Raw genomic sequence first — 17,140 nt, 5'->3', positions numbered from 1 at the left:
TTCAACAATAAGTATTACAGCAACAAATAACAAATTTATGGCAAATTGTTTTGATGTTTTAACCTATAGAAAGTGTCATGTGAAATGCTGTTGTCACACCCAAGCCAGTTTTCAAGACATGTGTGAATTGAAAAAACAAACTATCATTTTATTCTAAATAATTTTCTTGCACAACTCACTTGAAATAGGTTGATATTTGCTTTATGGGTTATTCTGGTAGACTTCACAGAATGAGAAATGATTCAACATCTCAATCTCCCCTTTCTCAGTTGAATGACTCCTTGATTAATAGCTGAAGGTGGTAGTTGTATGAGCTCCATAGTGAATTCTATTTTAATTATATAAAAAAGAGCAATGTTAAATCATGCAATGAATAAGAAGGGACTTAAGGAACATTAGCTAGTCAATACATATAAAATAATTATAGGCTGATTGATGTCTGACTTGACACTTGACTATAAGTGTGTCTCTCCTTAGAACATTAAGTAGAAAATAAAAGCAGCTATTCAGAATTTTTACATTTTATAAATGGAGCATAGCTGGAAAAACTGAAATTTATGTTTTTTGGTTATTTAGAAAATACTCTCACTTCATTTGAGCCTCAAAAAATCTCAAGTAGCAAAGTTTCTCCTGCTTTATGTTCTTCTTGTGGATATTCTTCTTTTTAAGTTTCTATCTTTTTGCTCACCAAGTGACAACCCTGTTCTTTTTCACTCCTTAAAATTTATCACCTTGTTTTTCCAAACAATCATGAAATTTAAAGTCCATTTGGAGCCACACAGACTGTAGCTGATTTCCAGCATTGTGACTTTAAGAAAGTTATTCGAGCCAAGGTTTTCACATTAAATTTAGATAATAATAGCTACTACTTCATAGTGTGTTTTGAGAAGTCTATTTGCTAAATGTTTATCCCTAGTGTTTATCTTATTCTTACAGACATCATTAGTCAACTCATATTCCAAAGAAGAGTCATGAGACTTTCTTTCTCCCCTCCCATATCCATTGGTTTTCCAAAATTGTAGTATCTTACCAATTGATGTGGTTAGGCTTTCTGTCCCCACCCAAATCTCATCTTGAATTATAATCTCCATAACCCCCATAAAACCCACCACCTGTCAAGGGAGAGAACAGGTGGAGGTAACTGAATCATGGGGGCAGTTTTCCCCATGCTGTTCTTGTGACAGTGAGTGAGTTCTCATGAGATCTGATGGTTTTTTAAGGGTTTCTTCCCCCTTCACTCAGCATTTCTCTTTCCTGCCACTTTGTGAAGAAGGTGCCTTGCTTCCTCTTTGATTTCTGCCATGATTGTAAGTTTCCTGAGGCCTACCAAGCCACCTAAACTGTGATTCAATTAAATCTCTTTTCTTTATAAATTGCCCAGTCTCTAGCACTTCTTAATAGCAGTATGAAAAAGGACTAATACAGCAATCATTCATTTCATGGAGTTCAGTCATTTGTGTCTCTCAAGTGTTTAGCTGAAAACTCTTGATCAAATCCTATTTTTGACAAAAAAATAGGATTGTTCCTATTGAGTTAAATTTACCAGATAATCATGTGTCTCTTTCATAAACTAGAAATAAAACTCATTTTCAAAGATACAGTATTGGAAGTACTACTAATGAGATCCCAAAGATTTAAAATATTGTGAGTCCAGCAGTCCATGAAAGCCTAGTGGATCTCTGTTACTTCATCATTCTTGACAGTAACCTAAGTGGTGGTTAATTATTTTCTACTTTCTTGAATACATCAAGTGTAAATCCACAGAATATATTAACCAAAGTCAATAAGCAAAGAGGAAAGAAACACTTAAAAGCCTTATATCTAGACAGAAAGACCACTCTGATGATATGCATTTAATCATGTCTGTTATTTTTAAAGGTCAGCATTACAGTTCAATTAGTAGTTCTATTTGTTAGATGCATTTTTCTTAATAGAATTATTCATCCAGGCTTTTAAAACATGTTCAAGCCCCAATTAAATATATCTCTTGGAAGAAATTCCCATCGGATCTCTTGGTCTGATTTCAGGGTTCTCATTAAAGTTGTCACTTAATATCATCAAATCCTATTATCTCTCAATCATCTCTAACTCTCTGAATAAACATATCGAACAGATAGGATATTTGCATAAACAGATAGTTAAGACCAGAAAAGATTATATTTACAGGGATAAGTAACCTGTGCTCCCCAGTTTGTTCTGCTCCAAAAGAATAAGTAACTTGTTGGCTCTCAAAAAGTTAATCCAAGATGAGTCTAAGGTGATATTGAAGACCATACTCTAAAGATTCCCTTTCTAAATAAAATAATTTTAATAATATTAAGGCATATGAAATTTAGCTTACTACTATTACTAGAATGAACTCTGATAGCCTGTATTGCAATAGAAGGGCACATAGTACAAAGCAAGGATTAGGTAAGGGACAACTTAAAAAATAGTAACAGAATAATAAGATTTAAGGGAAGCAACCCAAATAAAGTGGAAAAGGGATGACAAGGGGTGAGTGATAGCACCTGTCATCATTTTAACTTTTCATAATTTATAACAAACAAAATATGAAGGAACCAGTCATGGAGGTGTGCGCCTATAATCCCAGCTACTTGGGAGGCTGAGGCACAAGATCGCTTGAACCAAGGAGGCAAAGTTTATAGTGAGGTGATGCCACTGCACTCCAGCCTAGGCAACAGAGCAAGACTCTGTCTCAAAAAAAAAAAAAGATTAATTTTCAGATAGTAAAGCTTGTTTCTTTCAAATTCCATGTACAATAAACTCAAGATCTAAAATTCTATTTTGTATTTGGAAAATATCCAGTAAAATCAAAAACTAATGTCAAAGCTATAAAATATTTTACCTATTCAAATGGTCTCCTGCCATATATAAATGCTGAAGAAATTCAACATATTTATTTTCATAGCAAGAGAAATTTATTCTCTAACATAGTCTATTATAAGAACTGTACTTCTATTATTTGCAACAATTAGCCACTGGTCTTATTGACATTAGGACCATTAAATAAGAGCTGTCCCTAGAACTAGTATACTTAGAAGGTTCTACAGCCTGATTACAACCAGACACATCAAGGGCCATACATGTATTTTTAACTGGAATTCACTATAAAGATTTTGATTGATTCAAAATTGCTATGTTCTCTTTTGAAAAGCAAAGGATAAATTGTGAGTTGCACCATAGGCAATTGGTATGAAACTCTTCCCTCTACTTTTTTATTAAAATAAAATTTAGTTTAATTTTAAATATGTAGATAAAAGAAAACACATGTGTTTGAAATGTGGCTTGCTGAACCAATGCTCTCTTGAAAATACAGATGACATTATAAAATGAAAGTGTATATGTAAGCATGTGAAGTGAACATGTGGGGGGGTAACAATCTATGGTACAGAATACCTATGTAATCAGAAAAGATTAAAATGTTTGAAGAATAAGATAACTTATGAAACTTCTGAAAATATTTTTTTATTTTGTGAATTTTCTTTATTTTATTTTATTTTTTTATTATTATTATACTTTAGTTTTAGTGTACATGTGCACAAAGTGCAGGTTTGTTAACATATGTATACACGTGCCATGTTGGTGCGCTGCACCCATCAACTCGTCATTTAGCATTAGGTATATCTCCCAGTGCTATCCCTCCCCACTCCCCCCAGTAGGGGCATGGATGAAGCTGGAAACCATCATTCTCAGCAAATTATCGCAAGGACAAAAAACCAAACACCGCATGTTCTTACTCATAGGTGGGAATTGAACAATGAGAACACATGGACACAGGAAGGAGAACATCACACACCGGGGACTATTTTGTGAATTTTCAAAGACAGATTAACCCAACACTCAGAACTATTTTCAAGCAGTCTGTGTCCAGGTATGTTCCCTGCCCCTTGGAATTACTATTTCTGCCAAAATATTTTCTGAACACACTATTATGTTTCAAGCCAGCCATTTCCAGGTAACCTATTTTCACCAGTCCAGTTATCTGATTGGTTGGCAGTGATTTTCCTTGGCTAATAGGAAAGATTAGCAGTGCCACTTTGAAAGAATTGGTGATAATGAAGCCAAACTACCTGCCTAATGACACAATTTAGAGTTTATTAGTAAACTGTGCAACTCAATGTATAAGGGCTGTTAAAAGGAGATAAAGGGCTAGAATCTCATCAGAGGACTCCTCTTTCATTCTCGTCTACTCTAGTTCAAATAGAGATGTCAGAAGTGCTCTGACCTTACTGGGTTGTAAGGAAGAAAATAAATTAAGCAGGATATTGGCTAATTAGTCGTCAGCTCATATTAACAGAAACACGACAAGCACTTTCTCCTTGTAGCATTCAAATTTTGTATTCGCATTTCTATGACATGCACCACTTTTAAAATTGTGTTCTATTTTATTTATTAAGTATTCCTTTCCTGTCTTTTTGACCACCAACAGACTTCTCAGGAGTAGAGATTTAACTGTTCTTTGAATCTACTCCAAAAATGTAGGCATTCATTAAAAGTTAATTGAAAGAATTACTGGATGAATGATTGAAACACACTAATACCTAAAAAAGAAATTGGAGGAAATAATCACATAAGAACTAGGATAGATGAAGCAGGGTTATATAAGTACACAAATTAAAGAGACATTTCTGTATTTTGTTCCCCAGAGATGTCCTTGAAGGCGATGGATGGTCTTTGAGCCAAGCAGTCCTGAGATTGGAAGCCACCTGGTGGCCATAGAGAATATTATAATACGTTTCTGAGTGTACCTTGATTATATAGGCAAACTGCTTAAAAACTGGACCCCAAATTGCAACAGGTCAGACATAATAGACATTTGTTTGCTGCTTACATGTATGTTCCAAGCGCAAAGGATGTTCTCCTCCTCACAGAGAGTCAGAGATGCAGCTGAGTTGCCATGCCCAGGGTTAGTTAGAGGAAGAGAGAAAGTATTTGAAGAAGAGAAGGCACATCCATCCTCTGAAAAGCTCAGGCTTAGAGGCACACATAGTTTCTCTTACAAGATGGGAGAGAATTCGCCAAAAGGACATATCTTAATGCAAGAAAGTCAGAGAAATGTCAAACTATGTGCCAGCCAGAGTCCTGTTACTATGGAAGGAGGTAAAGGATTTGCAGGGTGGCTAGAAGACTACCACAGTTAGTTTCTTTATTTATAAAAATAAGAATAATGGCATTCAGCTCAGATTGGTGTCTCTAAGATTAAGTAATAAAAATCAAGAAATATATTAGGCATCGAGGATAACAAAGTAAAAAAATATATAAAAATTTAGCTAGGCTAAAGTTTCTTGATTCCATGAAGAGATTCATAAGGGGGCAGTTTCCATTTATCTGAGTAGTAAGAACTGAATTATATTTTATTTTATTCTAGATGATCCATAGAGAAACTTCATATATTGACTCACTTACCAAATAGTCATTGCACACCCACTCTGTGCCAGAGTCACACAGTACAGCAATAAACAAAATAGAAATCCTGCCCTCAAGCAGTAAACAGGTATGACAGGGGAAATTTTAGAGCATAGCTATTTATGATCTTTTGCCATCTCACTTTCTGAGGGATCTCAAATATTTTTACACTACTCAGCTATAAGGACAAAAGTATAAGAAAAACAAAAACTCTGTGTTTGTTTGAGTTACAAAGATAATTTCTTTCATAATGAAGAATTACTGTGATACAGGTTATTAAAAAAAGAAAAACAGCACGCATAAGAGCAATTAACAGGGACTCTGATCCAATCTATGGGAGATGGAGGAATGCCTCCTTTAGAAAGTGACATGTAAAGTGCTGCCTGAAGAATGACTTATTTGTATCCAGGTGGCAGGTGAGGGTGACCAAGCTTTGCAGGCAGAGGAACTAATATGTACAGGCTTCCAAGGCTGGAAGAAGCATGGGTATTGACTGAAGTGAAATAAGGTCCATATGGCTACTAGGTGTAAAAGGAGGGGAAAATAGTATGACATGAGATTAGGTAAAACAGATCATACCGAGACTCAAAATCCATGTCAGGGCTTTTCAACTTTATTTGAAGAACAACTGGAATTCACAAACTATTTCAGACAAAGGTATAGCATTATTGAATTGGCATTATAAAAGATCAGTCTAGCCATTGGAGAATGAATTAAAAGGAATGTAAAATAGATGCATTGAGACCAGTTGAAAGATGTTTGCTGTATTCTAAGCAAAGAAGCATTTTGGCTTGGACTAATGTGGTAGAAAGGAGATGAAGAGAAGAAAACTGAATCAAGAAATACAGTCAAGGTAGAAGAGACAGGACATGACAATTGATTAAATGAAATAAGGATAGGGAAGTAGGGATGAAGGATAAAGGTTAAAATTAAAAAATATATAATACCAATGATTCTAGCTTGAGCAAACGGTAGATAATTAACTGATATCTCCTGATTTAGGGAACTTAGATAAAGAAATGTCTCAGGGGAAAATGCATGTTTACAGAAAAAGCTTAGCATCTCATACAGATTCCTTTTTACCCTCCTGGTATAATACCATGTGCTATTATAATGTCATTATAAAAATTAAAAAAAAATAGACCTAGGTAAACATGCTAAGAGTAATTTCATGTACTGTTCATCTTAGAATAATTCTTGGGAAAGTATGGGAAAAGTAAATAACTCACTGACTAGCAAGAGTATACTCATGTTTTAGAACATTTTTTTCCCTTTCTTTACAAGGAGCACTTTAGGAATTGGAGTAAAATTAATTTGGATGCTGAAATTCTGCAATAGTATAGAATACCCTTATCACTTAGTAACTTAGTATCTGTAAGTCTCATCTTCCTTATCTGTAAGGATGATCATAATCAATCCTACTTTATGGATTTGTAGTTAGAAGTAAATGAGATAATCTGCATGGGTTCTAGAGCATTGCAAACACTCAACAAATTAGCAATTATTACAGTAATACAATTATTGATAAGAAAAATTTTTAACAAATAAATTCAGATAAGATAAATTTATTTTTTTTCAAATTCAGGACTTTATTTATTTATTTATTTATTAACTATAAGTTCTGGGATACATGTGCAGAACGTGCAGGTTTGTTGCTTAGGTATACACGTGCTATGGTAGTTTGCTGCACCCAACAACCCATCCTCTACATTAGGTATTTCTACTAATGCTATCCTTCCTCTAGTCCCCCATTCCCTGACAGGCCCCAGTGTGTGATGTTCCCCACCCTGTATCCATGTGTTCTCATTGTTCAACTCCCACTTATGAGTGAGAACATACGGTGTTTGGTTTTCTGTTCTTGTGTTAGTTTGATGAGAATGATGGTTTCCAGCTTCATCCATGTCCCTGCAAAGGACATGAACTCATCCTTTTTATGGCTGCACAGTATTCCATGGTGTATATGTGCTGCATTTTCTTTATCCACTCTATCACTGATTGACATTTGGGTTGGTTCCAAGTCTTTGCTATTGTGAACAGTGCTGCAATAAATATATGTATGCATGTGTATGTATCTAGGTATGGTAGACTGATTTATGATCCTTTGGGCATATGCCCAGTAATGGGATTGCTGAGTCAAATGGTATTTCTGGTTCTAGATCCTTGAGGAATCACCACACTGTCTTCCACAATGGTTGAACCAATTTACACTCCCACCAACAGTGTAAAAGCATTACTATTTCTCCACATCCTCTCCAGCATCTGTTGTTTCCTGACTTTTTAATGATTGCCATTCTAACTAGCATAAGATAGTATCTCACTGTGGTTTTGATTTGCATTTCTCTAATGACCAGTAATGATGAGCTTTTATTCATATATTTGTTGGCCGGATAAATGTCTCCTTTTGAGAAGCATCTGTTCATACCCTTTGCCCACTCTTTGATGGGGTTGTTTGTTTTATTTCTTGTAAATTTGTTTAAGTTCTTTGTAGACTCTGGATATTAGCCCTTTGTGATCGATTGCAAAAATTTTCTCCCATTCTGTAGGTTGCCTGTTCACTCTGATGATAGTTTTTTTTTTCTTCTTCTGTGCAGAAGCTCTTTAGTTTAATTAGTTCCCATTTGTCAATTTTGGCTTTTGTTGCCATTGCTTTTGCTGTCCAATATCATACTGAATGGGCAAAAGCTGGAAGCATTCCCTTTGAAAACAAGCACAAGACAAGGATGCCCTCTCTCACCACTCCTATTAAACATAGTATTGGAAGTTCTGGCCAGGGCAATCAGGCAAGAGAAAAAAAATGAAGGATATTCAGATAGGAAGAGAGGAAGTCAAATTGTCTCTATTTGAAGATGACATGATTGTATATTTAGAGAACCCCATCATCTTAGCCCAAAATCTCCTTAAGTTGATGAGTAACTTCAGCAAAGTCTCAGGATACAAAATCAATGTGCAAAAATCACATGCATCCCTATACACCCATAACAGACAAACAGAGAGCCAAATCATGAGTGAACTCCCATTCACAATTACTACAAAGAGAATAATATACCCAGGAATACAACTTACAAGGGATGTGAAGGACCTTTTCAAGGAGAACTACCAATCACTGCTCAAGGAAATAAGAGAGGACACAAACAAATGGAAAAACACTCCATGCCCATGGATACAAAGAATCAATATTGTGAAAATGGCCATACTGCCCAAAGTAATTTATAGATTCAATGCTATCCCCATCAAGCTACCATTGACTTTCTTCACAGAATTAGAAAAAACTACTTTAAATTTCATATGGAACCAAAAAAGAGCCCATATAGCCAAGACAACCTTAAGTAAAAATAACAAAGCTGGAGGCATCACGCTACCTGACTTCAAACTATATATACTACAAGGCTACAGTAACCAAAACAGCATGGTACTGGTACCAAAACGGATATATAGACCAATGGAACAGAACAGAGGCCTCAGAAATAACACCACACATCTACAACCATCTGATTTTTGACAAATCTGACAAAAACAAGCAATAGGGAAAGGATTCCCTATTTAATAAATGATGTTAGGAAAACTGGCTAGATATATGCAGAAAACTGAAACTGGATCCCTTCCTTACACCTTATACAAAAATTAATTCAAGATGGATTAAAGACTTAAATGTAAGACCTAAAACCATAAAACCCTAGAAGAAAACCATTCAGGATATAGGCATGGGCAAACACTTCATGACCAGAAATTTATTTTTTACACTCCAACATTCCTCTCTATTTATATAATCATAACAAACTAATACATTTTATCTAATCATAATATTTTACACCTTCACAGTAACCTGTATGCTTCAAAATAGTTTCATGTGCATTGGCTCATTTGGGCCTTGTTTTATCTATGTGAGGTAATCATGGCAAGTATTATCACCCACATTTGTAAATAAGAAAACTAAGCCTCAAAAAATGTATAAATTATATAGCTAGCTCACAGAGGAACCAGAACTGGCCTCATAAACCAGGTCTTCTGATCCTTAGACCAATAGCAGACTAGAATTCTATATAGATCCTGCTGAAGAAAGAAGTCACCTTGCATGGTGAGAAAATAATTTGCTCATACAAATTTCTTCTAACGGCCTTATATTTCCCTTGGTTTAATGCTGCACCTTTGCATTTCAAAAGCACAATCTGCAATATGATGTATAAACTATATTATGCCAAGTTTGGAAGACACCTGGGATTTTGTCTCAGAATTTATGATTTCATGTAAATCTGAATCTTGTCAGTGAGCTGTTGACTAGAGCTTATTTGAGAATGAAAAAAGTTACTGATACTTGTATAATAATGGTTTTGTAGTTGTAGGTCATGAGAACTACATATAGTTAGTAAATATTTATTAAGCATCTATTCATTAATAAACATACAATAATATTTATTGGTTATTATGCTAAACACTAACAATACAAAGATAAATTAGATATAACCCATGACCTCAAAAAGATTGTAATTTAACAACATAAAGACATATAAACAAATTATTGTAATGAAGTTTCTATTATCACATTTCTTTATATTAAAGTATTCTTTTGGCTTCCCATCTCTCCTTCTAAACTGAGAGCTTCTTAAGGTATCATCACTTCCTAGGAGAGTTAGGATGAGGTGGAGACATGAAGGAAGCCCAACAGACTTGTGCTCCAGGCAAAGGGAGCAGAGTGTGAGAAAGTTGTGACATTTGGAGCCACATGTTCTATATAGTAAACTTTGAGTAGGTCACTATAGAGAGAAGGTTAAGTCTATGTTGGAGATAGGAAGCAGAGAGAACCATTTAGTAGGTGAGGCTTGGGGAAGTATGTTTAATTTAGAATATTCATTTAGCATAAGAGGAATAGCGTTTGGGGAAAAATAAGGAGTTCAAATTTAGAAAGGTTGTGCAACTTTCAGATGATTGATTAGTTCATTGTGCATATAGATCTGCAGTTCCAAAATTAAAGATTTTTAAATCGTTTGTGAATAAGGGCTAATCAATGTGATTTCCTAAGAAGAAGAAAATAACTACTACTAGAGATATGCTCTATGTAAGAAAAAAATTACTTTCCCTCTTTTTTGATACCATCAATAATGTTGCTAGTTCTTGAAAAATCTTATAATATTGTGCCAGGAAATAGAAATTTTGAAGTGCTAAGATAAAAAACTTAGGTTTTCTTTATGTGCTAGAATTGAAAGAAAGGTGACATGCTTCATCTCTGCTGTAATTTAAAGGGAGAATTTGATGTTAAAAGAACCAGCCTTCATCTGAGAATGCCATTGCAAACATAATAAGTGAAAATGAGGCACTTTATGTATTTTTCATTCAAACTTGTAAAGGAGGCAGAGGAGGAAAAAGAAGTTGTTGTATGAGTGTGCTTCTAGTTTTTAGGGCTTCTAGAATTCTGATATGCCTTTTTTCCTCCTTTTATAATAATTCTCATCAGAAACGTATCTTACAACAAATTAACATCATTCTTGAAGCTTCACTTAGAGGCATTCAGTTTGAATAGCTTTTTTCATAATTGTTCATCGAGACAATTTCCCTGATTATTTTATGATGGTTTTTAAATTATGCCAGAAGGATAGAAATAAAATAGAATCTATCATTTTCATTCTCATATTTTAAAGCAAAGCAGTGAAAATGCCACTGTAAGGATAACATAACAAGAAATAAAAATATTAGATTTTATAACTGTCCTAAACTTATCAGGCTTAAAACTACACCACTTTCACTAGGTTAGCCTGGGAAGCATAATTCAATAATACATGCCATATCTATATGAACATAGTCCCAAAGGATATTTAATCCTGGTCTCCACAGTATTAAATCAAAAAGAATCTTAAATGAATCAACAGAAACACTCATGACCATTCTTTTTTTTTTCTTTTTGATCTTTTATAAGTACAAGAGCCTCAGGCATATAGTCTCTCTGGATCTAGAAACCATTCTGAACTGCTGCCTGAAAAAGTCCAAACATAAATGAAAGAAATAACATATAATCTTGAACTAGGTCACTATTTTTTCTTTACTGAACTCTCTTCTCCCTTCTCCCAGGAAATGATGTGTCAGGGTCAAATGGTTAGCATTAGAAATCATGTTCTTTTTCTCTATGTATGGCCTACATCAGTGTACATATCATTTATATAAGCCAGAGAAGGAAGAAGGAAAGCTGATGATGAGTTATAAGAAAGAGGGAATTACAAATCAAATACATTCCTTGAGTTCCACATCCTTGTATGAGTCAAGACAGCCTGGATGGTAATCTGTTTGACATTATTCAAATACATTGAAATTTGGAATAGATAACATCTTGGATTACTTTAAACTCTGAAGAAACTATTATTCAAGGAAAAGTTGGCAGCATACATTGAAGCTTGCATAAAAGATATGACATGCATGGGAAATCTATAAATATTAAATTATCAATTATTATTGTCAATATAATAATTGAAAGCTTAGAAATCGATATCTTCAAAGGGGTCATCAACAGTTACAATAGTGCTAGTGGTAATAACTAACAATTACTGACAACTTGGTATGTGTTTGGCACTATTGAAAGCACTTTACATGTATTATACTATTTGATCCAAAAAAATCACAAGAAATAGATAATTTTATCATCTTTATTTTACAAACAAAAACAAGGCACAAAAACTAAAGTAACTTCCCCAAAGTCATTGTTAACTACTGAGGGAGCCACCCAATAAAATAAAGTGAGTGTTTTTTAAAGAAAAGAGGAAATCCTCTAACTCAGATATATGGCAGAATAGATGCCTTTAAAACTCCCAAAACAAAGCATTTGAAAATGATCTATACTGTATAGCAAACATCATTTTAAAGACATAGCTGAATTTATAAGAACTAAAAACAAAATCTCAGAGGCAAAATAGAGGAGGAACTGAAAACATAAATAGTGAGCTTACTCAAAAGGCATGGCTAATCTAAGATGATGTATTAATCTCGGTAAAATAGACTTTGTCTTTCATGCCAATTATGGAATAAGTGGCAAGACCTTGAGTGTCACATAAGGTAGAGTGTTAGAAAGGAGCTCTCTACATAAAAGTGTATGCCTCAGAGGTCTATAACCTTAGTAAAATTACAGATGAGAAAAAATAATGTTGGCATAAGGGGAGAACAAGGAAATTTTAGCTTTTATGTGAAATACAGATGAAAAAAAATCTCCTGGAAATTTCAAGTCACACAAAGCTGAGAATGCTAATCTATACTATCTGCAAGGTCCAAGAGAAAATTAACTTAATAGTAGCCTCCTGAAGAATCAAAGGCAAATACTGTATTCTCAAAAAAGTAGCATAAAAAATCAATAACTGCTGGGATTCTAAAAAAATTCATGTTACAAATGATCTAATTACTTAAGATCACAAAACACTTCAGGAACATAAGATACCACTAGGGAGAGTGAGCAGAAACAGCCAATAGTATAATTAGGCATCTGATGACATCAGATAATATAACCATAAGATTCAGAATATGACAGAAGTATCTTTAAATATTTAAATACATTTAAAATGGAATAAAAATATAAAAGATCAATAAGATATTTTTTAAAAGATAAGGCATATTTTTAAGTAAGTGAATAGTATTTCTAGAAATAAAAGTTATTACTAAAATTAAAAACACAGATTGAAATCAATGTTCGGATTAAACAGCAGGTTATGAATAGCTCAAAAGAAAATTTATGAATTGAAAGATGTGTATTAAGAAATTACTGGCTGGGCACAGTGGCTCACGCCTGTAATCCCAGCACTTTGGGAGACCGAGGCAGGTGGATCACGACGTCAGGAGATTGAGACCATCCTGGCTAACATGGTGAAACCCCGTCTCTACTAAAAATACAAAAGAAATTAGCGTGGTGTGGTGGCGGGCACCTGTAGTCCCAGCTACTTGGGAGGCTGGGGCAGGATTATGGTGGGAACCCGGGAGGCAGAGCTTGCAGTGAGCCGAGATCGCGCCACTGCACTCCAGCCTGGGAGATAGAGCAAGACTTCTTCTCAAAAAAGAAGAAAGAAATTACTGATAATACAAGCCAGTAAAACAATGAGCTGGAAGATAGAAGATATGAAAGAAAATAAGAAAGTCTAACGTATGGGTAATTGGTTTTTGAGAAGACAATTTTTTAAGAGATATTAAAAAAATAATGTCTGGATTTGAAAAATAAAATGCTACTCAGTGATTAAAATAAACATTGGGCAAAATAAGTCAACACAAAAATCATATGTACTATGGAATTCCATTTATGGAAAGTTCAACAACTGGCAAAACTCATCTTCGGTTACAGAATTCCAGACAGTTGTAACACTTGGCAGTAGAAGATGACTGAAAGGGAACATGAAGGAGGCATCTGGAGTTCCACAAATATTGTATTTCTGGATTTGTGGGCTGGTTAGATCTATATGTGTGGTTTGCAAAAATTCATTGAACTGTACACTTGTGAACACTTTTCTGAGTGCATATTATACTTCAACAAAATGTTCTTAAAATTTTTATGATTTTCTAGAATTATTGAAGACACAAATCCTCATGTCCAGTAAGTACAACAAATCTTAAACAGGTTAAAGAAAAAAATTTAACTAAAAGCATCATTTGAAAACCAAAGAAGAAAAAAAAAAAGGAAGATCTTAAAAAATGCCTTGAAGATAGAAACAAAGACAGATTGTATTTAAAAGAATGACGATTAACTTAAAAGGATATTCAGCAATGGCAAGAATAGAAGCCAGAAAACAGTAAAATAATATTTTTAAAGTGCTGAGAGAATATAATCACTAACCTGTAATTACAAACTTTCACAATAATCATTTGAGGATGATGATAAGTTTTAAATATGTAGAAATACAAACTGTAAGTGTTTAATCATTTAAAAAAACCCTCACTAAATGTATTTTTTAATGTTTCAGGAAACTTTTTATTTTTATTGTCAGGGAAAAAATTATCCCAAAAGAAAAATATCATGAAAAAAAAGGAGTGTTGAGAATTTAAACAATTTAATAGCAGATAGTCAAAATATGTAAACAAAAGCACATCTAAAAAAGTGGAAAGTTGAAAAAAAAGGAGCTGTGTGTAACACAGTCAAATATCTGACATAAATGTAGATATAGCCCCAAACACAAACACAAATCAGAAAGGAAATGAAGCAGAAGCAAAATCTGAAGAGAAGACAGGGGAGAATCCAGAACTCAGGAAAGACAACAATCCACATATTCAAGAGGCACTGGAAAATTTAAATGCAATAAAAACAATAACAACAACAACAAAAACACACCTAATCACATTACAGAAGAAAATCTCATACAAAAGGAGAGAATCTGGAAACAGGGAATAAAATTTTAAAAGGCACATTACTCAAAGTAACAAAAATTAATTTTACAACTGATTTCTCAAGAGAATAACAGAATCCAACCAAAAATGGAACAAAATCTTTAACGTACTAAGAGAAGTAACTGCCAACTTACATTCCTATACTCATATAAAATAGCCTTCAAAAATGTAGGCGAAATAAATATATTTTCACAAATAAACCAATCAAGAAGAATTCAAATAATGAACCAGTAAACCAGCACAGAATATATTTAAGAATTTACTATCAGTAACAACATAATCCAAGATGGAAACCCAGACACATTATAAGAAATAAAGAGTAGCAGAATGGGTATGTGAATAAATATAAGTTAATATTGATAATACAAATTAATACTTTTTAAAAAGATAGATTACTTGATTGAAGCTCTGGATATCATGTGTTGACAGCTCTCATTTCTGAAATAATTAGTTATTATCTACCACCCTAACTGCCCATAAAAGTCCTAATCTATACAGTATGAGAACCACAAATTGGATAAGGTGAGTATTGTCTTTGCCTGGAAGCTTTTGCTTCACTAGATTAATCTCTCAAGTTGTTCATCATGTTTTGAAGCAAGCTCAAGGTCACTATAAAAGGACTTTGGATTTTGCTGATTGGCATTTGGAATTGTTCAATGACAATATATCCCTCAGATAAAATCTCATTCCATGGGCACCAGCAAAGCTCAAATGTACCATTGTGCTTCATGAATAATACCATTCAAATCTGACATTTTAACGTAGTTCTAGGAAAAATGATCCTGCCAATTCCAGATCATTTGCTGATTTCATTTTGAGATTATAACCAAAGTCTAGATTTCAGGAAATATATTCAAGCCAAAATTTAAATACTAGACAGGAAAATTTGTTTTTAAAAGATGATTTGTAAATACGGAAAAGCTAAAATGTTACTAAGAGGAATTCATATTTAAGTGTACAGTTGTATTTTTCAATAATAATTTAATATTATGTTACTAGTTGCTTTTAATCACGTTTATGATAAGAGTCCGAAAAGGCTAAAATAATCTATATTTTAAATTTCTCTGCTTAAGAAAATCTTTAACTCAGAATATTTAGGAATATAGTGGTTCTCCCTTATCCTCAGGGGATACATTCCAAGACCCCAAGTGGATGTCTGAAACTACGGATAGTACCGAACCTTATGTATAGTATGTGCAGATTTCTTTTTCTTTCATCAGAATTTTAGAGATAAAAGATTCATTCTTACCACAGATTTTAGCAATCTCAGGATATGATTTCTCTCCTTTTCTTATTAAGTTGAGAACTTTCACATTTCACTTAAAGGAAGCACTTTACAGCTTCTCTCTGTCATATATAAATTGCCAGCATCACTATTTTTGTACTCTGGGGTAATTATTAAGTAAAACAAAGGTTACTTGAGCACAAGCACTACAATACCTCAACAGTCAATCCTACAACCAAGCCTGCTACTAAGTGACTAATGAACGAGTAGAGTTTACAGCAGAATACCTGGAGAAAGGGATGATTCACGACTCAGGAAGGACCGAGCCTTCCTGATGGTGTGAGATTTCATTAGGCTACTCAGACGAGTGCACAATTTAAAACTTATGAATTGTATATTTCTAGAATTTTTCATCTAATATTTTGGGACCATGATTGATCTCAAGTAACTGAGTCAGAGAAGGCTATACCGCAGATAAAAAAAGATTTCTGCATATCATCTATAGTACATCTTTTTAAATATTTTTGAAGTAAATATAGGCATTATAAATATACGTCTTATATACATATGAAAAGTCACACACACTTATCCACATATATAAAAGATAGAGTAAAATTTTTTATATCAAAATAAAAGTCATAAAATTACTAATCCAATTGCGTTTAATAGATGAGAAATAAGTAATGTTATTTTTTTAAAAAAATTAGTGGCAATTACTACCTAAGTTTTTTCTTTTCTTACAACTTTTAACACTACTGAGACATTAATCCGTTTTATCTTAGACAGCATTGACTACTACGTGAAGAGTGAGAGGTATAGTTTCTCTCTATGTAAGGGAATGGAAATGTCTAATAATGTTCTTTTGAAATATTTCACTGTTCATTACAGAGGATTTCCAGGCCCTCTAGCATGTCATTTGATGTTTCCTTATTACAGCTCTTTCTTCTGGCCTGGGAACATCAGCATGACTTTGCCCCATTGCCTGGTTGATGCATACCACCAGATTTCAATTTCTGTTGCTCCAAGTAAAGAGAATGGTTATTTGTAATATTGATTTTAATTGTTCACAAAGCAAATTCTTCAAACCCACTTCTAATTTACATGCTTTCAAATGTCCCTTAATTGTATTTATTATATATAATACTGTAACCTTATACTGTAATTATA

At 33.7% G+C, this 17,140-nt stretch overlaps 1 long non-coding RNA gene across 4 annotated transcripts in view; it reads right to left on the bottom strand.

The window, feature by feature from the left end:
- LINC01709 (long intergenic non-protein coding RNA 1709) overlaps positions 1-17,140 on the bottom strand; it is a 147,996-nt gene that overhangs the window by 13,141 nt on the left and 117,715 nt on the right. For all 4 annotated transcript variants that reach the window (NR_183474.1, NR_183476.1, NR_183473.1 and 1 more), the window contains one exon: positions 180-328. This is a non-coding gene — a long non-coding RNA (long intergenic non-protein coding RNA 1709). The remainder of the gene's footprint in view (positions 1-179; positions 329-17,140) is intronic.

The sequence above is a fragment of the Homo sapiens genome, chromosome 1 (genome assembly GCF_000001405.40).
Source record: "Homo sapiens chromosome 1, GRCh38.p14 Primary Assembly".
Classification (NCBI taxonomy): domain Eukaryota; kingdom Metazoa; phylum Chordata; class Mammalia; order Primates; family Hominidae; genus Homo; species Homo sapiens.
This window is presented reverse-complemented; position numbering and strand designations above follow the sequence as displayed.